Source organism: Homo sapiens, chromosome 8 (genome assembly GCF_000001405.40).
Source record: "Homo sapiens chromosome 8, GRCh38.p14 Primary Assembly".
Taxonomy (NCBI): Eukaryota; Metazoa; Chordata; class Mammalia; order Primates; family Hominidae; genus Homo; species Homo sapiens.
In genome coordinates, this window is record NC_000008.11 from 80,144,549 (window position 1) to 80,165,812 (window position 21,264).

Here is a 21,264-nt window from a genome sequence, read left to right on the forward strand (position 1 = left end):
AAAGATAACAGATAGGTGCCTCCTCTTACATTAAATATTTATTAGGTTTCTGAATAGTGGTCTTCCCAGGGAAGTTCATGGGAGGCACACACAACTCACAGCCACCCATCCCTCCTTCAAAAACACCTTTTCTATCAGAGTCACTGAAATACACCCAGAAAGGGAGACCACAACCAGTTCTTTGGGGCAGACAGGTGTTGGACTGTCTCCTTGACATGGCTTTTTGTGTGCATTTTTTACATGGTATTCGGTGTGCATTCTAACCAAACTCAAGGATTGTCTAAATTTGTAGGTCATCTCATTCCCTGTAGCACCTTGTCCAGTAAGTTATAACAACCAAAAAAAAAAACCTAATAAGCATAGTATCTATTCAAAGCCTAATAAGCCCTTATATCCTGGTTGTGTGGAAAGGATTAAGATTATAATGAGTTACTCTGTGGGTTATTTTTTAATTCATTTCTACACACCACATGAGGTTCAAAATGAGCAACTAACTCAGGCTCAGCTGAAGAACTCCTGGAGGGTCACTCTTTATCTGGGAAGCACTGGTGTTAAAAACTGGTGCAAATTTTGTTGCCACTTAGTAGAGTATTTTCACATCCCAAAGCAGAAGCACAGAAGTAGGTAAGAGATATCAAAGTTTCCTTACAAGAGAAAGGATTTCTTTGCTTCACCCTGCCCTGCATGAACAGCTAAGTGAAAAGCAGATTCTCCCACAAGGCTCAAAGATATAACAGTAATCTTGTTTAATCCTAGCATGTGGCCAGAAGTGATGAATCTATGTGAAGATTTTGATGGCAGGTGATCTTTGAGCGGGCATGGCAGTTGCACCACAAAAGGTCGAACACATTTTCACGGGAAAGTTGCCTATGTGCTACTGAAGAAGCTAGACTATGAAGGAGCAGCCGAAATGCAAGAACACCTTCCCCTACTTCTCTGTATCCAGGACTCAGCTCAGTGCTGGGCACATAGCAGGTGCTCCGGGAATGGGAATGGGTGACTGTAGGAATCATAAGAATTTTTCTTCTTTCAGGAGTACTGCACATTCCGGGCCCACTTCATGCCCCAGAAGTTACTATTAGACAGGAACATCATCAGCAGTATGACAAACTAATAGGGAACTAATTAGGAATATGTAATATAGACATCAAATCTTTTCTTCAAGAAATGACTCAGTTTCTCTACAACCTAGGGCAACTCTAGACAATAGCAGCATTTTCACTTGTCCGAGATGAAAGGAGGAGGGAAAAAACCCACAGTGTTCCTGAAACTAAATTTAAAAGTAATGCCCTTTATTCTGAGATAATGTTTTTCCTGATTTTTTGGAAGGGGAGGAGGAGTGTTAAAAATCTCATATCTATAAAAACATGGTGGCTTTTTGTTAGTTGATTTTAATAACTTGGCAAAACAAGGAGTAGACAACTCAGTGTGAGCTCTCCCCCACCCAATTTTAATTTATGAATTCCAAAAAATTAAAAAGGGTAATGCTAGGACGTAACACCCACTTGCCCTGCCTACAGCCCAACTCACCTAACACACATCACTGTGCAGAACAGAAACAGGACAAACTGGTTTAGAAGGCAGAGGGGACAAAGAATGCTGTATTTGGCTATACATACACGGAATCTAACATGAGGTAAGAACATCCAGATTGGAAAAGTCTAGCACTGAAGTCGTGCAAAAAAATATACTTGGATGTATAGCCCCTGGAAGTTCACCTAAGTGAGCCATTGTTGCTAAGGGCAATTCTTATTTACCAGGTGTGCTGGTAGGGGAAAAAAACAGTTGACTATCACTGCTTTTAGTTAGTCTACAAAAAGACTTAGAAAAACTGGCTAGCAGCCCAAAGCCCATTTCAGGTTCAGTTTATAAAGGGTCTAGTAAGCACATTTATGATTTTCCTAGCAACTCCAGGTTAGCCTCAGCTTAGGCAGAGAATAAAACAAACTACCTAAGGCCGGGCATTAATGTGGTGAGCATCATAGAGTGATGGTCCCATTATCTATTAAAACAAAAATAGAACAAAAAGTGCACATGTTCATCAATTTCACTTCTCCATATTACCCTAGACAAACATAGCTGCATAAAGGAGGAATAAACAAAGATGTTCAATGCAGGATTTATTTATAATAGTTAACAAAAAATACTGGAAAGAATCAAGTATCCATTAATAGAATTAAGGCACATTTATATGTGGGTACACTATGTAGCAGTTAAAAATAATGAAGTGATCAATATGTACTAGCACAGAAAGTGCTCCATGACATGGAGCTGATGAAAAATACAGAAACACAAGCATGACAGCATTTGATTTTCTAAAAGGCACACACAAAAAAATCCCATGCTATATAGCATTCCCAAATGTGGTCCCTGAACCAGCAGTATCAGCATCACCTGTGAACTTGCTAAAAATGCAAATTCTCAGGCCTCACCGCAGACCTACTGAACCAGAACTCTGTGGGTGGGGTCAGCAGTCTGTTTTAACAAGCCCTCTGAGGGTGTGAGGTCTTGTTTTAACAAGCTTGAGAACCACTGGCCTACATGGGCAGGCATAAAAATCACTAAGAAAAGGTTGGCCAGACTTGCACCAGATGAAGTCTCTGCACAACTCTCTTTATCTACACTCTTGCCTATCTTTATCTATACTCTTGTGTTCATGTATTGCTCCTGGAAGTTAAAAGTACCATTTTTAAGATACTGCAGGTGCTAGGGAGGAGCCTGGGGAAATGGTTAACCATGCATCTCAGCAAAAATAAGGGAGACCTCGCTGACGGGATAGGAGAATGAGGTTCCGGGAACTAAGAGCTACTGAAACACTGCCGATCACAAAAAGCACAAAAAACCACGTCCAATCAGAATTTTACTCCAAAACTCTCAACAGAGTTCAGCTGGTCTTACTGGTGACTCCGGTGGAGAGAGTACATGACAAACAGTCAACACTAGTAGGAAGGACAGCTAGCTACCAAAGGATGAAAAAGAATGAACAATGAAGACCTTGTTTGAGAAAGCTAAACTATTTGCATAGTCTTTTGCTGTCCTGTTTTGTTGATTCTTTAGCACTACATGTGGCAGCGGCCACCCCAGCTCCCAGCCCCCACCATCATCCTTACATTTGCAGGGGTTGTTGAGCAGGGCAGCAGGGCAAAGGCGACAAAAAAGGGAGCTCTGAGACCTATGGAACAAACCTTAGTGAGGCCCTCTAGCCACTACCATTCTAATCCCTAATCAAGCCTCTTCAAGACAGTGGGGCCTGGAAAATGTGCACACACACATACATACACACACACACGCACACACACACACACACCCCCCACACCCCCTGTACTTTATTTCCTACTAACTTCATAATCAGAAGTGAAATCAACCATTACTGCCAATGCTTGTAAAGATAAAATAAACGCCACAAGAGTAGTCAGGAACTCACTTTAAAATAAGGTTTAGAGACATCTATAAATCTAAAAATAAGATAACTATACTCAATTTTCATTTGAGAGACTGCCTTAAGAGGTAACCTTATTAATCTCCCTACTATTGCTGTAAGTCAGGTTCCAAACCAGAGCTAAAAAGTAAGTGGTATTTTATTAAAACTTACAAATTTTCCACTTCTAAATTTTTTTTTTTTGAGACAAGGTCTCATTTTGTCACCCCGGCTGGAAAACAGTGGCACAATCACAGCTCACTGAAGCTTCAACCTCCCGGGCTCAAGTGATCCTCCTGCCTCAGCCTCCCAAGTAACTGAGATTACAAGTGCACCACCATTCCTGGCTAAGTGTGTGTGTGTGTGTGTGTGTGTGTGTACAGAGAGAATCTTCCTATGTGGCCCAGGCTGGTCTTAAACTCCTGGGATCAAGCAATCCTCCTGCCTCAGCCTCCCAAAATGCTGGGATTACACGCAAGAGCCACCACACCTGGCCCTAAATTGTTTTTAAGTGAGATTTTGGTGGATTTGATGTCAACAGTGTGTGGCATCACCCTTGACATAACAACATAAAACAACAGTTTTAAAGCCAATATCTAAAACAGCCTTTTTTTAATTCTTTAACTTTCTGACAAAAGATCAAGTAAAAGTTTTGCTCTCTGTAACAAGCACTCTTCAGATTTTGCTGAAGAGAAAATGCTAAATAAAAGCACATTCTCACTCTGGGGTTTGGGGAACATCAGTTACTCCAATTTCAAGCTTTATTCTCTTGGATTCTAGGAGGTCATCATAACCCACTTATATTTTGATACAAGCAAAAGCCCATGCTTGAAGACTGAAGAACTACAAAGAAACAGCTGTATGCCATTCCACTTTCTGGGCCATGTTTCTCTGTTGTACAGAGAAAAATCATTTCTTTTTTTAACCTAAAAGCAAACACAGTTCTGCTCACTTCCCACTATTCAGCCTATTTTTTTCCTCCTTTAACAAGGCCAAATTTTTAGCTGTATCCATTAAAAAGCTTAAGTTATTTACACAGAGAAGATGAAGCAAAAAGTGTTGTTACAGCCTCATATAAAAGAAATATCCAATTATTAAAACAAAACCAAACAAAAAAAAAGATTTGCCACTACATAGGTGATATAGTTTGGCTGTGTCCCCACCCGAATTTCATCTTGAATTGCAGCTCCCATAATTCCCGTGTGTTGTGGGAGGGACCCAGTGGGAGGTAATTAAATCATGGGGGCGGATTTTTCCAATGCTGTTCTTGTGATAGTAAGTCTCATGAGATCTGATGGTTTTATAAAGGTTTTATAAAGGCCCGTTCCCCTGCACACGCTCTCCTTGCCTGTTGCCATGTAAGACATGACTTTGCTTCTCATTCGCCTTCCACCATGATTGTGAGGCCTCCCCAGCCATGTGGAACTATGAGTCAATTAAGCCTCTTTCTTTTATAAATTACCCACTTTCCAGTATGTCTCCTCATTAGCAGTGTGAGAAAAGACTAATAAATTGGCACTGGTATAGTGAGGTGCTGCTTGTAAAGATACCCAAGAATGTGGAAGTAACTTTGGAATTGGGTAACAGGCAGAGGTTGGAAGAGTTTGGAGGGCTCAGAAGAAGACAGGAAAATGTGGGAAAGTTTGTTGAATGCCTTTAATCTAAATGCTGATAGTGATATGGACAATAAAGTCCAGGCTGACGTGGTTTCAGATGGAGGTGAGGAACTTGGGAACTGGAGCAAAGGTGACTCTTGCTGTGCTTTAGCAAACAGACTGGTGGCTTTTTGCCCTAGAGATAATGGTAGAACTTTGAACTTGAGAGAGATGATTTGGGGTATCTGGCAGAAGAAATTTCTAAGTGGCAAAGCACTCAAGAGGAAGCAGAGTATAAAAGTTTGGAAAATTTGCAGTAGAAAAGAAAAACCCATTTTCTAGGAAGAAAGTCAAGCTAGCTGCAGAAATTTGTATAAGTAATGAGGAGACAAACGTTAGACAAACATAAAGACAATGGGGAAAATGTCTCCTGGGAATGTCAAGAGACTTTCAAGGCAGCCCCTCCCATCACAGGCCTGGAGGCCTAGGAGGGAGAAATGGTTTCCTGGGCCAGGTCCAGGGCCCTCCTGCTGTGTGCAGCCTAGGGACTTGGTGTCCTGTGTCCCAGCTTCTCCAGTCATGGCTAAAAGGGGCCAAGGTACAGCTCCAACTGTGGCTTCAGAGGGTGCAAGCCCCAAGCCTTGGCAGCTTCCACCTGGTGTTGAGCCTGTGGGTATGCAGAAGTCAAGAATTGTGATTTGGGAACCTCCGCCTAGATTTCAGAGGATGTGTGGAAACGCCTGGATGTCCAGGCAGAAGTTAGCTGCAGAGGCAGGGCTGTCATGGAGAACCTCTGCTAGGGCAGTGCAGGAGCGAAATGTGGGTATGGAGCCCCTACCAGAGTCCCCACTGGGACACTGCCTAGTGGAGCTGTGAGAAGAGGGCCATCATCCTCCAGATCCCAAAATGGCAGATCCACCAATAGCTTGCACTGTGTACCTGGAAAAGCCACAGACACTCAACGCCAGCCCGTGAAAGCAGCTGGGAGGGAAGCTGTACCTGCAAAGCCACAGGGGTGGAGCTGCCCAAGACCATGGGAACCCACCTCTTGCATCAGCGTGACCTGGATGTGAGACATGGAGATCATTTTGTAGCTTTAAGATCTGACTGCCCCACTGGATTTCGGACTTGCATGGAGCCTGTAGCCCCTCCATATTGGCCAATTTCTCCCATTTGGAATGGCTGTATTTACCCAATGCCTGTACCTTCATTGTATCTAGGAAGTAACTAACTTGCTTTTGATTTTACAGGCTCATAGGTGGAAAGGACTTGCCTTGTCTCAGATGAGACTTTAGACCGTGGACTTTTGAGTTAATGATGAAATGAGTTAAGACTTTGGGGGACTGTTGGGAAGCCATTATTGGCTTTGCAATGTGAGGACATGAGATTTGGGAGGTGCCAGGGGAAGAAAGGTATGGTTTGGCTGTGTCCCCACCCAAATCTCATCTTGAATTGTAGCTCCCATAATTCCCATGTGTCGTGGGAGGGACCTGGTGGGAGGTAACTGAATCACGGGGGCAGGTCTTTCTCGTGCTGTTCTTGTGATGGTGAATAAGTTTCATGAAATCTGATGGTTTTATAAAGGGAAGTTCTCCTGCATATGCTCTCTCTTGCCTGTCACCATGTAAGACATGACTTAGCTCCTCATTCACCTTCTGCCATGATTGTGAGGCCTCCCCAGCCATGTGAAGTTGTAAGTCAATTAAACCTCTTGCCTTTATACATTACCCTGTCTCAGGCATGTCTTTATTAGCAATGTGAGAACAGACTATTACAATGGGAAAGAGAAATAACAAAAGTATATTTTACCTCTAAAAAGAATAGGCTTAAAACTTGAAGAAACAGCCGAAGTGATTGTTAAAGTATATTAAACAAAAATTATGGGAGGCCACTGTTTTTGGACTAAGCTCCTGCACTAGGACCCAAAAGCCAGACCACACCAAAGTGAGTCACTCATGCTTACTGCCACATAATCATATTGAAACTTTAAAGAAGCAGTAGATCCCCAAAAAAAGATCAGTTTTTTCTGGAAACAGGAGATTCCAAACTACCAGAATCAGCATAATAAGAAAGTCTCTTCTGCTTTAACCTTTAAAAGAAGTAACCTGAAGTAACTTGTTGTTAACCAATCAGCTTTTTTTTTCTATTGTTCTGTTTCTTTGTTCCCTTATAAAAGGCACTGTTCTGACATTGCCCAGTGGAAGCTCAGTCTCTTTTATAGAATGGAGGCTGCCCACTTACCAAATAATGAATAAATGCCAATTAGATCTATAACTAAATTTGTTGTAATTTTGTCTTTTGACAGGTGTAAGATATATTACAAGGTCATTTAGTAATACATCCATTGCTAAATGAATTAGAAAGCAAATTAAGTTAAAAGCAAGACAATGTTAATTGCGCTTATGTTGATTTTTGTCAGAAGAGACCTAAGTACTTCCTGGTAAGCAGCTTTCAATATAAACAAGAGCCCTGCACCTCTCTATCACTTCAAAAATAGAATACTGCAACGCTAGAAAGGCAACACCCAGGCTTTAGACGCACCTTCCAGAACAGACTTTTCTAAATAGCCAGTAACAGCTCGAGAAAGGGAGAAGATCAGACCTGCCTTTCATGCCCCCCCGACCCCAGGAGCAGGAGGTGAATCTTGAATACCTTTTCCTACCCACAGGTAGAGAGCTGACCGGGGAGAGAGGCCAGCCATATCCTCAGCAGGAGGATGAAGAAGCCAGGCCAACCCTTGATAGTACCTGACAGAATCACATGGGCAGAAGCAAACTCGAATGGCAGCACCAAAGGAGGTGTGAAATGCTGTGATGAAAACACCCTTCCTCCTAAACACTCATTCCCAACAACAAAAAACACCCACTACCATTTAATATCCAAAAGAGTAACTGGTGCATCTAGCTCCAAAGATCTCTCACATGAAAGATGTCAGGCAGCCGGGAGCGGTGGCTCATGCCTGTAATCCTAGCACTTTGGGAGGCCAAGGCAGGTAGATCACCTGAGGTCAGGAGTCCGAGACCAGCCGGGTCAACATGGTGAAACCCCATCTCTACTAAAAATACAAAAATTAGCAGGGCATGGTGGTGCAAGCCTATAATCCCAGCTACTCGGGAGGCTGAGGCAAGAGAATCACTTGAATCTTGGGGGGCAGATGTTGTAGTAGCCGAGATTGCGCCACTTCACTCCAGCCTGGGCGAAAGTGTGAGACTCCGTCTCAAAAAAAAAAAAAAAAAATGCCAGGCACAAGCAGATCTCAGGTTTCCTTCGAATTGAGGAAACTGATAGGCCTGCCAAAGACAGCCTATGTGGCAAGTAAATGCTTGTGATTAAGAACCTGAATATCAACTTGACGGGGTGTGTGCTGGGGAGGGGAGAAAGAGAGGGTACACAAAAACATTTGTGAATAAAATTAGTTTTTACCTTCATTAGAATTGTTTCTGATAGCATATTTGACCCTGAATTTATATGTATATTAAATAAAAGAAGACTCTTAGGCACTAACAAATGTGGGAGGAGAGTGCTGAGGTTACTAGGATTTTATTACAAAGAAATGTCTTACTTCTATGCTTTCACAGGTTTCTCCACTAAGGTTATGTATAACTTATGCAAAAAATGATAAAGAATTACTTCAAGTGCAGGAAAATACGAACTACATTAAGTACAGCTGCTTTGACTGCAATGCTCCAGGAACTGAAGGAAGTTAATGGCACCACAGGTGCTTCCAAGACACGGGGCCCGCACGGTGAGCTGTCCATTGGCTTCCCTTGGAATAAGCAGAGTATATTGCCTTGGAAGGAAAAACTATTTCCTCAAAGGGAGCAATGATCCCTCAAGAAGGCTGGACAGGGGTAAGCAGAATGCTTCCCTTCCAGCACTTTCCACATCTCATCATTGCCCTCTCCCCTCCTAGGTCCCAGGCACTTTTAAAATCAACAAAAGCAAGACTTTTTCTCTTTTCTTTTTTGGCTACACTGGCATCATAACATTCTACTAGAGGTTAAGTCAATAATTCAAAGTTAAAACCTCCAACATTTGAGACTTGGTATTATTAAATAAATCACCTCCATTTTGGCAAATTTACATCTGTAACCAATTCATTTAAGATAAGAGCTCTCTATATTATGGAGAGTCAGTAAAATATTGGTGATAAACTCTATGATCTTGGGGAGGTCCTTAATCTCCCTAAATTTTAAGCTCCCTCATCAGTAAAACAGGAAAAGGGAAAATACATCTGCCCAGGGCTGATGTGAGGGACAAACAGGGCATTTGCTGCCCATAGATGCTTGGCGGGAGCCAGGCCCTAGGAAACACTCCTTCAATGTTAGTATCACTGTCAAATAAAATACCTTTCTTTCCACATAGAACTGGTTGAAAAGAACTAAGAATTTCAAACTCTTCAACAGCAGAAAGGCCCAAACCATCCCCATCCCTCCCTATGCGCCCTTTCACTCACCTTTTCCAACCTCTACAAAAAGGATGAGCAGAACCTGCCCCACTGTGAAGGACACAATCACATCTTCTTTTGTTCACTGCACAAAATAAGGTTATGAAGTAGGAGTGTTGGTGGGAAAATGAACACACCTTTAAAATTCTAAAAAATAATATTATCATCAAAAGCTAAAGGGTGACTGCATGGGCAGGCAACTTGGTCAGGAGAAGGAAGAGAGACAGAGAAGCAACGGGCCCTGTTGTCCCCCATGGGGAGTATCAGGAGGGCTCCCAGGACTCCTGTGGAAGAGGCAGGCCCAGCCCGCAGCCTCCCCAAGCTCTAGACACAGGTGAGGCTCTCTGGAGTCGAACCCTCCCTGGTGGCCAATGTGCGCAAAGCCCAAGGTGGACGTGACAATACTACAGAGGTCTATGTCCTGGGATGGCACCGGATTTGAATTGCAATTGACTCACTGCTTACTTCCCTCTCCCCTTAAGTGATAACAAAAAATCAAATGTCCTCTTCATCTTCTAAAAAGTTTTTAAATTATGACACCTTTGAATCAAGAAAAGGGAAAGCTGCTGTGGCTTCTATGTTTCTCCTCAGCCCAAAATTCATACAGAGAAACTCAAATAGCTAAACTAATGAAGTATGATTTTTAAATTCTCAATTAATAATTCAAAATGTTTCTTCTATGCTTTGAATCATGACATACACACACACACACACACACACACACACACACACACACACACACACAAAACACCTACATTAGCTTTGAAGTAGCAATGAAATTAACTAATAAATAAACAAAGTAGGAAATCCATTTCAGGGTTTTTTTTCTATTATTCCTGCAGAACAAAATGTTATATAATACATAAATCATACATAAATTATGTATATGATGATCTGTGATGAGAGACCTTTGAGGCTACTATTATAATTGTTTTTTGGGGTTGTTTTGTTTGTTTGGTTGGTTGGTTGGCTTTTTGTGTTTTTGGTTTTTTGTTTTTTTTTTTTTTGAGACAAGGTTTCACTCAGTCACCCAGGCTGGAGTGCAGTGGCACAGTCTTGGCTCACTGACACCTCCGCTTCCAGGGCTCAAGCGATCCTCCTGCCTCAGCCTCCCAAGTAGCTAGGATTACAGGCATAAACAACTGCTCCAGGCCTGATGTTACTATTGTAATTGCTTTCATGCACCATAACCATGCTTGTATAAAACAGCAAATTTAATCAATAAATGTTGTGTGTGTTCTGACTGCTCCACTGACTGGCCGTTCCTCCATCTCTCTCCCTTTCCTTGGGTCTCCCTATTCCAGTGATTTGAGGTGGTGAGAGAATAAAGAGAACAGCAAGGAAAGAAATTTACGAAGAAGATTCAGCAAGTGCAACAATGCAGAGGTATGAGAGGGCAAAAAGGCATTTATGAATCCTCAAACCAGGTAGGGGGTGTCATGGGGTGTGAGTGCTGGATTTCTGCAAGGCTCAGGGTTGGAATAGTCAGACGTTGAGCAGTGGAGGGGGACTCGAGGCATCTGAGGAAAAGGAAAAGTAGAGAAAATCTTTCAGATTGAATGGAGAAGTTACTGAGATAGAAAATACGGAAAGGGCCAGGCGCGGTGGCTCACGCCTGTAATCTCAGCACTTTGAGAGGCCGAGGCGGGCAGATCACTTGAGGTCGGGAGTTCAAGATCAGCCTGACCAACATGGAGAAACTCTGTCTCTACTAAAAATACAAAATTAGCCAGGCATGGTGGCGTGTGCCTGTAATCCCAGCGACTCGAGAGGCTGAGGCAGGAGAATCGCTTGAACCCGGGAGGCAGAGGTTGCAGTGAGCCAAGATTGTGCCATTGCACTCTAGCCTGGACAACAAGAGGAAAACTTCATCTCAAAAAAAAAAAAAGAAAGAAAAGAAAAGAAAATATAGAAAGAAGAGCAGATGAAGGGATGGAGATGATGCATTTGTTTGGGGGGTACATCATATTTAAGGTCTGCTCCAGTTATCCAATACTGCATAACAAGCCACCCCAGAACTTAGTGGTTTTAAACAACAGCATTTATTATGGTCACACTACTGTAGTTTGGGCATGGCTTGGTCAGGACAGCTATTCTCTGCTCCACTCAGCCTCAGTTGGGGGGACTTGAAGACTGAGGCTAGGGGCATCTGAAGGTGCACCCGCTCACATGAGGGGCTACTGACACCAGGAAGACCTAGCAACTGAGGTTTCCTGGCACCTGTCTCTGTCTGCCTGGCCTCCAGCATGCAGACTCAGGGTGTCCAGGCTTCTTACATGTTCGCTCAGGGTTCTCAAGGCAGCAGTTCCAAGAGAGGCAGGTACAAGCTGTGTGGCTTTTTATGGCCTAGCCTTAGAAGTCACATGGTGTCACTTCCGTCTCATTCTATTAGTTAGAAATGTGTCACAAAGGCCAGCCCATATTCAAGGAGAGGGGAATCAGAACACCTTTTGGAGGGAGGAGTATCAACGAATGTGTGAACATGTTTTAAAACCATCACCAAGTCTTTGTGGGATGTTGATGTGGGTAGATTCAGGAGTGACATATGGATTTCTAAGAGAAAGAGCTGGGCAGGATATCAAGGTTTAGGAGACCTGAGGACGTGTGATATTTGAAGCTATTAAGCTGTTTAGATGGCCCAGGAAAAAGAATAGGAGAAACAAGGAGAAATGAGCATGGAATGTGAACATCTCAGGGGGAAAGGAAGGTACGAATTAAGAAATGCAGTGCTGGACTTTCCAAGGCTGTGGGGATGCCAAGTAGGTTGAGAGGGAAGAGTAGATACTGGATTTGGTGATAAGAAGCAGTGGTGGATAATGCTGAGAGATTTGGGCTCTGTGGATTGGGGTAGAGTAGAAGAGAATTGGGGTCGGGTTGAAGAGGAGTGGGGTGGGGTGGAGAAGAATGGGAGGGCTGGTACAATGGATTCCAGGCCTGCAGGAATGGGGGAATGGTAAAGGGAAGGCAACCAGAAAGGGAGACTGCTCTTTGCCAAAATGGAGCTGATTATTTAATAATACCAAGTCTAACCAGTGATTTGAGGTTCCCGCTCCACTTTGGATTGGAGGGAATTCACAAAATGCACTTTGAAAAGCTGGTTGCCTCATCAGACTTCACTACTTTTCAAATTTAGTATCTATAGTCATCATCATGAAATTAATAATCCAGTCAAGAGAATGTCATCTGCAGTGACCACAGCCCCAGACAGAGCCCAACCAAGGCGAAGACAGGGCTCCTGGAACCAGAGGCCCCTCTTGAAGGCTAAAAAAAAAAAAGGAAATAAGTTTGGGAAAGGATGGTAATGCTGGGAAAAATAAAACTCCTAAACCAAGAGAAATCTGCCATGCCCTCTTTACCATCAGTCAGGATTTTCATTGAATCCCTGACACAATCAGCAGTGTAAAGTCACTATAAAGTCACAGCACTATAAAGTCACCAGGAGAGGCAGGCTTGGCCGATAGGTTTCCCCCTCAACAATGACCTGAAGAAAAGCACTGACCGACTCTCAGGTCGAGGAACTGCTGTTCTGGAATGAAAATCATTTCTCAAAAAAACCCGAGCGAGAATAGTTAACAAATCTAGAAGCTGCACAAATCAGTCCCATAGCCAAGGCACTCCACGATGAAAACAAGCTTCAGGTTGGCCCTTAGAAATCACTGGTTAAAATTCTAAAATCACAGCATTACTACAATTTCACCCAAATGTCACCTCTAGACTAAACTGCTTCTCTGGCTATCATACCACCCAGGGAAAGTATAATACTTTCATTCTGCAAATATTTAATATGTTCTTATTCTCTGCAAGGCTCTTACACATTAAAGTGAATTATTGCTTACAGACTTGAGCTTCTTGAAGGTCAAACTCTACGATATCACTATTAAAATACATTTTGCATTAAAAGCATCTTAACTAAAACCAGTGGCATCCACAGGCATAGCAAATCCAGTTATTCTCCCATGCCTCTAGTTTCTGCTCTCATTTTACAAACACACACAAATGCCAAACTACTCATCCTCTCTACTGAGGAACTAAAAACGACATTCAAATTTAATATCTATAGTCTATTTGCTTGGGAATATTTGCTTGGGAATAGCCAAGCAAATTCCCATCACTTAATCCAAATTTCCCTTTAAAACACCCATGACTTCTCCAAAGAGCAGTTTCCCTTTCCGGTTGCCTTCCCTTTACCATTCCCCCATTCCCACAGGCCTGCAATCCATTGTACCAGCCCTCCCATTCTCCTCCTCCCCACCCCACTCCTCTTCAACCCCAACCCAATTCTCCTCAACTCCACCCCCCACCCCCATCCATGGAACCCAAATCTTTCAGCATTATCTACCACTGCCAGAGTGGTGGATAATGGGGGTGAGGGAGATGCAAACATTCAGTCAATAGCAGCTTTCAAGTCCAAGTTCAAAGGTCACCTACTTTGGGAATTCTTTTCTGAAGACCCCAGCCAGCGTTGCTCACTTCCTCCTCAGCCAGGGTTATAAACTTTTCACAACATCTACTCTACTACAGCAGCCTATTTGTATGTTTGTTTCTTCAGAATGGCCTATGAGCCTGAGAGCAGGCTCAAAGCCTAGATCGCATCACTGCACTCCAGGCTGGGCAACAGAGCGAAACCCTGTCTCAAAAAAAAAAAGAAGTAGGCCGGGCGCGGTGGCTCACGCCTGTAATCCCAGCACTTTGGGAGGCCGAGGCGGGCTGATCACGAGGTCAGGAGGAGATCGAGACCATCCCGGCTAAAACGATGAAACCCCGTCTCTACTAAAAATACAAAAAATTAGCCGGGCGTAGTGGCGGGCGCCTGTAGTCCCAGCTACTTGGGAGGCTGAGGCAGGAGAATGGCGTGAACCCGGGAGGCGGAGCTTGCAGTGAGCCGAGATCCCGCCACTGCACTCCAGCCTGGGCGACAGAGCGAGACTCCGTCTCAAAAAAAAAAAAAAAAAAAAAAAAAAAAGTAAATAACTAACTTCAATAGAACCGCATCGAAAATGTGTTTATGAAGTACTTATTGAGCACTATGTCCAATATCACACTTGTCTCTAAAGAAATAAAATGTTTCGTTTAAACTGGGAACCACTGAGTTAGCATTTTACAGAAGTATCTAATATTCAGTTTCAAAAATCAGTATCTATTGAGCACCAGTACTAGTAACAGATTTGTACCTAATTTTCATGCATATGTGAGATATCAGCCTTAGAGAAGTTTAGTGACTTATCCAATGTCTCACAACCAGAAAATGATGAAGCCAAATTTTGAACCTCGATATGACTTCAGGTTCAGTATTCTGAACTAATTTACAATCAATTCTGATGCATAAGATCAGACACACTGGCCAGACTCTGGTATAGATACACTGCTTGGTGCTCCTTTCCATGGCTCCTACCACAGCTGTACTGTGCTTTTGAACAACACCTTTGCAAGGAAAAGGAAGATTGTCTGCAACTTTTATGTAGTATAGGTATAGGCTGGGTAAGGACACGTACTCTCTAGCCAGACATCACAGATCAAAATCCCAGACCTGTCTGCGCCAAGCTGTGTGCCCCTGAAAAAGTTATTACTCTGTCCCTTCATGCCCTGTTTCATTTGTAACGTAGGGATACTGTTAGCATCTGCTCATAGGGTATGTTCTGAAATTTTTCAAAAATAAAACATGAAAAGCATTTAGACAGAACCTGACATACAGAAAACAATAAATGTTGTTGCTGGTAACCACAGTAGTTGTATTACTAAAAATGACCCAGTAAAACCCCAGCTGGAAAACTTAATTGTAATGCAAAGCTGAAGCTCTGTTACTTCCGATTCCAATTTTGTTTCAATTATTTGGAAAGAAAACATTTCTTTAAAAAGTATGAGATGTTCCTAGCCCTATAAACTGATTAGAAAATGTAGTTTAGGCCAGGCAGTGGCTCATACCTGTAATCCCAGCACTTCGGTAGGCCGAGGGAGGAGGATCACTTGAGCCCAGGGGTTCGAGACCAGTCTGGGCAACATAGTAAGACCTTGCCTTTACAAACAATAAAAAAATTAGCCAGGCATGGTGGTGTGCGCCTGTGGCCCCAGCTACTCAGGAGGCTTAGGTAGGAAGATTGCTTGAGCCCATAAGGTCAGGGCTGCAGTGAGCCATGATTGCACCACTGCACTCCAGCCTGGGTGACAGAGCAAGACCCCATCTCAAAAAAAAAAAGTAGTTTAAATTTTTCTTGGACTCCAGATTATTCTCTTAGAGACAACAGATTTGGAACGAAGCTTTTGTAGAGCTCTCCACATCCAGCAGAGTACATCTGGGGAAGTCGTGATCATTCAGATTATGTTTCCTCATATATAAAATGAAAATGTACCAGTCCTACCTTCCTGCAGCACTGAAAGACTGAAACAAGATAATATGTAGAAAATTAGTAAGAGTTCTCAAAGGCCATGTGGTATCATCGTCATCATTCTCATTCTGGGTTCTCATAAAATAATATTCCATACTTAATATTCCAACTTCCATATGGAATATTCCAACTTCCATACTGAAATGGAAGATTAATCATCCATTTGCCAAATGTCTCAGGCAGGCAAAATGTTTGCATTTTTCCCTCTTTACAGAATTTTTGTTCTGGTTTACTAGTAGCAAGCACTTTCCACTACTGTCAACATACTGCTTGCCCTTCTGAAATGTGTTTTTTAAAAACTACTACTAACATGTGCTAAGGCCATCCATGTCTCCTAGGCTCAGAATGCATTAGAAGTAAATAACTGGCTGGACACGGGCGGTGGCTCATGCCTGTAATTCTAGCACTTTGGGAGGCCAAGGAGGGTGGATTGCCTGAGCTCAGGAGTTCGAGACCAGCCTGGGAAACGAGGCAAAACACCATCTCTACTAAAAATACAAAAAAAAAAAAAAAAAAAAAAAATAGCCCGGCATGGTGGCACATGCCTGTAGTCCCAGCTACTTGGGAGGCTGAGGCACGAGAATTGCTTGAGCCTGGGAGGCAGAAGTTGCAGTGAGCCTCAATCACTGCACTCCACTGCACTCCAGCCTGGGCAACAGAGCGAGACTCTGTCTCAAAAAAAAGAAAAAGAAAAAAAGAAGTAAATAACTAACTTCAATAGAACAGCACTGAAAATGTGTTTATGAAGTATTTATTGAGCACTATATCCAATATCCTTTCAAGAATAAAAATTTAACCAACACCGTCTCTTCTACCTATGTATACACACACATTCTTACATACCTGCCTTAGGAGCAAAGTACCAATTTAACTTATATTCACAGACAGATTTTCAGTGATTATATGTAAGACTATAAGCATATTTAGAACATATATTCCTATCTCCCTGCCAAACCATGTTCCTTCTTTAATTCTTAGTCTTTTCTATCCAAATCCATCTGACTCTATTAATGCTAGAAGTCTTTTTGATTGATGTATGTGCAATATGAGAAATATTTATGGAGTACCTACTACATTCATACTTGAACTGCAAGCTGGGAATAAAATGTAAGGCAGTCTCCTATTCTAGTGACACTATTTCTAGCCAAGTACACATTCTAGTGGGTTGGATAAACTATCATCTTTATTTCTTAAGCCCTCCTGATTGGACCATAAGCTCCTTTTCCACACCACAATGCCTCCAAATAAACTAAGGATACAATGGGTGAAATTTCATCCTGTTAATAAGTTCCCAATCCAAAACTTTTATCAAGAACACATTTATATATATATATATATATATTTTTTTTTTTTTCTGAGACAGAGTCTCGCTCTGTCACCCAGACTGGAGTGCAGAGGCATGATCTTGGCTCACTGCAACCTCCACCTCCTGGGTTCAAGCGATTCTCTTGCCTCAGCCTCCTGAGTAGCTGGGACTACAGACATGCACCACCACGCCGGGCTAATTTTATATTTTTTGTAGAGACAGGGTTTCGCTATGTTGGCCAGGCTGGCCTCGAACTCCTGACCCCAAGTGATCCGCCCACTTCAGCCTCCCAAAGTGCTGGGATTACAAGTGTGAGCCACCGCACCTGGCCTTAAATAATTTTTAAAACTGACATTTACATTTGTATAGCTGTAACATAAAACACACTCACCATGATTATGAGCCAAGGCATGTAAATTAATAGCCTGTCTGAAATCACTATTTTTAGTACCAATTACAAGTGTCTAAACAGAAAAGACACCAAGAAGGAAGTACTGAAAGCCACAGAAAGCCATGCAAATTACCCCCAAAATGTCACCTGGAAAATATTTGCTCCTAATACTGTATTTTGCTAATAAAAATAACATTGAAAGATCCAACATAACCAAAATGATAAGCAAAATAGAAAAAGTAAATACTTGCCAAGGAGGGAAGGTGACAGAGAACAATGAGAAGGCAAGACACACTAAGATCCCAAAGTAGATAAGTAACAATCTCTAGAGGGAAATACAAATGGATAATAACATCTATAACCTCTCTAGGAAACAGACAAATTGAAGCCTATAAGCTCTGTAATTTTTTTTTTAAGGAAATGACTAGAGAGACTGAGGCAGAAGGACTCCTTGAGCCCAGGAGTTCAAGGCTACAATGAGCTAGAATTGCATCACTGCACTCTAGTCTGGACAAAAGAGAAAGACTCAATCTCTTAAAAAGAGAAAAGAAAAAAAAGACAATAAAAAGGCAATTTACGTAATAAGAAAAAATATTTGCAAACCAAACATCCAATAAAGGGTTAATATCCAGAACATATATATAAAAAAGTCGTACAACTCAACAACTAATCTGATCAAAAACAGGCAAAACAGCCTGGCACAATGGCTCAACCTGTAAGTCCAGCACTTGGGAGTCTGAGGCAGGAGGATCACTTGAGCCCAGGAGTTCAAGGTTATGGTAATCTATGATTGAGCCACTGCACTCCAGCCTGGGTGACAGAGTGAGACTGTGTCTCAAAACACAACAAAACAAAACAAACAAACAAACAAAAAAAACGGGAAATAACGAGTGTTGATAAAGATGGAGAGAAACTGGAATCCTTGTGTACTGTTGGTGCAAATGTAAATTGGTAAAGCTATTATGGAAAACAGTATGAAGGTTCTGAAAAAATTAAAACAGAATTATCATATGATCCAGCAATCCCATCTCTGAGTATATTTCTAAAAGAAGTGAACACAGGCTCTCAAAGAGATATTTGCACACTCATGTTCATTACAGCATTATTCACAACAGCCAAGATGTGGAAGCAACCTTAATTTCCACTGATAGATAAATAATAAAGAAAATGTAGTACATACATACAATGGAATATTATTCAGCCTTAAGAAGGAAATTGGGTCATGTGCTACACACGCATGAGCCCCGATATCATGCTAAATAAAATAAGCATCACAAGAAGACAAATACTGCATGATTCCACCTATATGAGGTATCTAAAGTGGTCAAACTCATAAAATCACGGTTTCTATGACTGTTACCAGGGGTAGGGGATGGAGGAATGGGGAAGTTGGGAAGCTGCTGTTCAATGAGTACAGAGTTTTCATTTTGAAAAATGAAAAAGTTTCAGAGATCTGTTGCACAAGGTACATACAGTTAACACTATCGTACTGTACATTTAAAAACGATTAAGATGGTAAATTTTGTTATGTATTTTTTTACCATGAGAAAAAGAGGGCATTGACAGTTATGTTTTCCAGAATGAGATTCAGTAACAGGCATCGAAAAGCTTACATATATTCACCTCCTTTGACCTGTCTATGGAAATTTATCTTAAAACAATTTCTCTTAAAGCAGTATCATAGCTAAAATGGAATGTAAACCTACTCCAGGAGAGAAAGAGTTAAATAAACATTTGAATAGTGGAAGAGTGCAATTATCAAAAATTATAGCTTGGGGAAACTTTTTTTAATGATGTGGTAAAATTCTTATTATCAAATAATATCCAAAACAAAAAACAAAACTGTTATGTGTAGTGTATACAGTATAACCCTAATGAACATATATTGGGGTATTGAATAAAGAAACAGACCAAATTCTAACTGTGAGAGAGAGACAGAGAGAGAGAGAGAGAGAGAGAGAGAGAGACAGACAGACAGAAAGGGGAAAGGGGGGAGGAGAGAGAAGGAGAAAAAGATCTGCCAGCATGATTTTTGTTGAATTTTCACCTAGATAAGTTGATTCTAATGTTCGTTTGGAAATAGTCTGGCAAGAATACCTAGAAAAAAACTGACAGAAAAAAAAATAGAGTAATCAGAGCAAACTAGCCCTTCCAGACATTTTTACATTTTATGAAGCTACAATAACTTAAACTAGGTTTAGCTGCTGGCAATGAACATACAGATAAAGAGAAAAGAAAAGAATGTAAGAATTTAGTACATGACAACAGTGGTATTTCAAATCAATAGAGGAAGAAGCCATTAGTCAATGAATGGTGTTAGGCAGTTGGGTGGCCAATTGGAGGTGGAGGTGTTAAGATTTATACCTCACATCTCATTATCAAAACAAACTCCAGATTGAGGAAAGATTTAAACATAAAAAATAAAACCATAAAAGCATAAACTCAAAGTGAGGGAGGCATTTCTAAAAATGATTCAAAAGCTAGAATCCATAAATGAAAAGAGCCATTAGTTAGGCTGGGTATGGTGGCCCACTCCTGTAATCCCAGCAGCTTGGGACGCCCAGGTGGGCAGATCACTTGAGGCCACAAGTTCGAGACCAGCCTGGCCAACATGGCAAAACCCCATCTCTACTAAAAAATACAAAAAATTAGCCAGGCATGCTGGCACGCACCTGTAATCCCAGCTACTTGGGAGGCTGAACAAGAACTGCTCGAGCCTGGGAGGCAGAGGTTGCAGTGAGCAGAGATCATGCCACTGCACTCCAGCACTCCAGCACTCCAGCCTGGGTGGCAGAGGGAGACAATGTCTCAAAAAAAAAAAAAAAAAAAAAAAAAAAAAGAGCTATTAGTATTTCTTCTTGGTTAAAAAAAATCACTATAAAGTCAAAAAAGGTATGACAAACTAGAAAAAAAATTAACAACTCATCTCATAAACGGGGTACATTCTATAAAATACAATAGAAAAATTGGCAAAAGATATGGCCAGATATTTCACAGAAAATGCCATGTAGATTGTAAACATATCAAAAGAAGTAAACTACCTTTATATTAAATATATATAGTAAGACTTATACTGAGAAACCATTTTTCCCCTATAAGACAAGCAACAATGGAAAAGTGTGGCAACATCCTGGCCACATGGCAAGGGAAAGCAAACGCTCGCACATGCTGGTGGAAGTATAACTGGCACCACTTCTATGGAGCAGAATTTGGCACTATCAAAATTGAACAGCCACATTCTTCTAAGAATTCTTCCTACAGACACACTGGCATTTTTATGGAATGACTTGCATACACATACATTTGCTGCAGCTTTGTTTTAACAGCAAAATATCAGGGTGAAGGAGTTCAGGACACAGCATCCCAAAACATTCCACTTTAGCATGCTGATTATTTTGGGCTAAAGGCACTTGAAAAACAGCAGGTGTTAAGAAGGGCACCCAAACCTCCTCTCTTTTTCCTGAAAGCAGAAGATGAAGCTCCCATATGAAAGATGTCCTCCCTCTACCAGGAAGAAAGAAACATTCTTATCACAGGAAGTCCAAGCCCAAAGAAATCTGCATAAAGAAACCTTGCTAAACTAAACCTTACCTTCCTAGTTACTTTTCCACAACTGCCACTCTTTTTTTGACCTAGTATATAATCGATCAGGCCAAGCCACTTCCTTGAGTCTTCATTCCTCTTGTGAGGGTAAAAGGTATGTAATACATAAAAAGCACTAAAT

At 41.6% G+C, this 21,264-nt stretch overlaps 2 protein-coding genes across 12 annotated transcripts in view, besides 2 other annotated features; both read right to left on the reverse strand.

The window, feature by feature from the left end:
* Window positions 1-21,264, reverse strand: part of TPD52-MRPS28 (TPD52-MRPS28 readthrough) — a 252,848-nt gene that overhangs the window by 225,832 nt on the left and 5,752 nt on the right. The window lies entirely within an intron of this gene.
* TPD52 (tumor protein D52) overlaps window positions 1-21,264 on the reverse strand; it is a 140,483-nt gene that overhangs the window by 113,467 nt on the left and 5,752 nt on the right. The window lies entirely within an intron of this gene.
* Window positions 2,149-2,198: an enhancer, noted in NCBI's record as "active region_27561". NCBI's record gives its function as "activates an Ori minimal core promoter by ATAC-STARR-seq in GM12878 lymphoblastoid cells {active_cell/tissue: GM12878}" and the evidence as "EXISTENCE:reporter gene assay evidence [ECO:0000049][PMID:35858748]".
* Window positions 13,736-13,975: an enhancer, noted in NCBI's record as "active region_27562". NCBI's record gives its function as "activates an Ori minimal core promoter by ATAC-STARR-seq in GM12878 lymphoblastoid cells {active_cell/tissue: GM12878}" and the evidence as "EXISTENCE:reporter gene assay evidence [ECO:0000049][PMID:35858748]".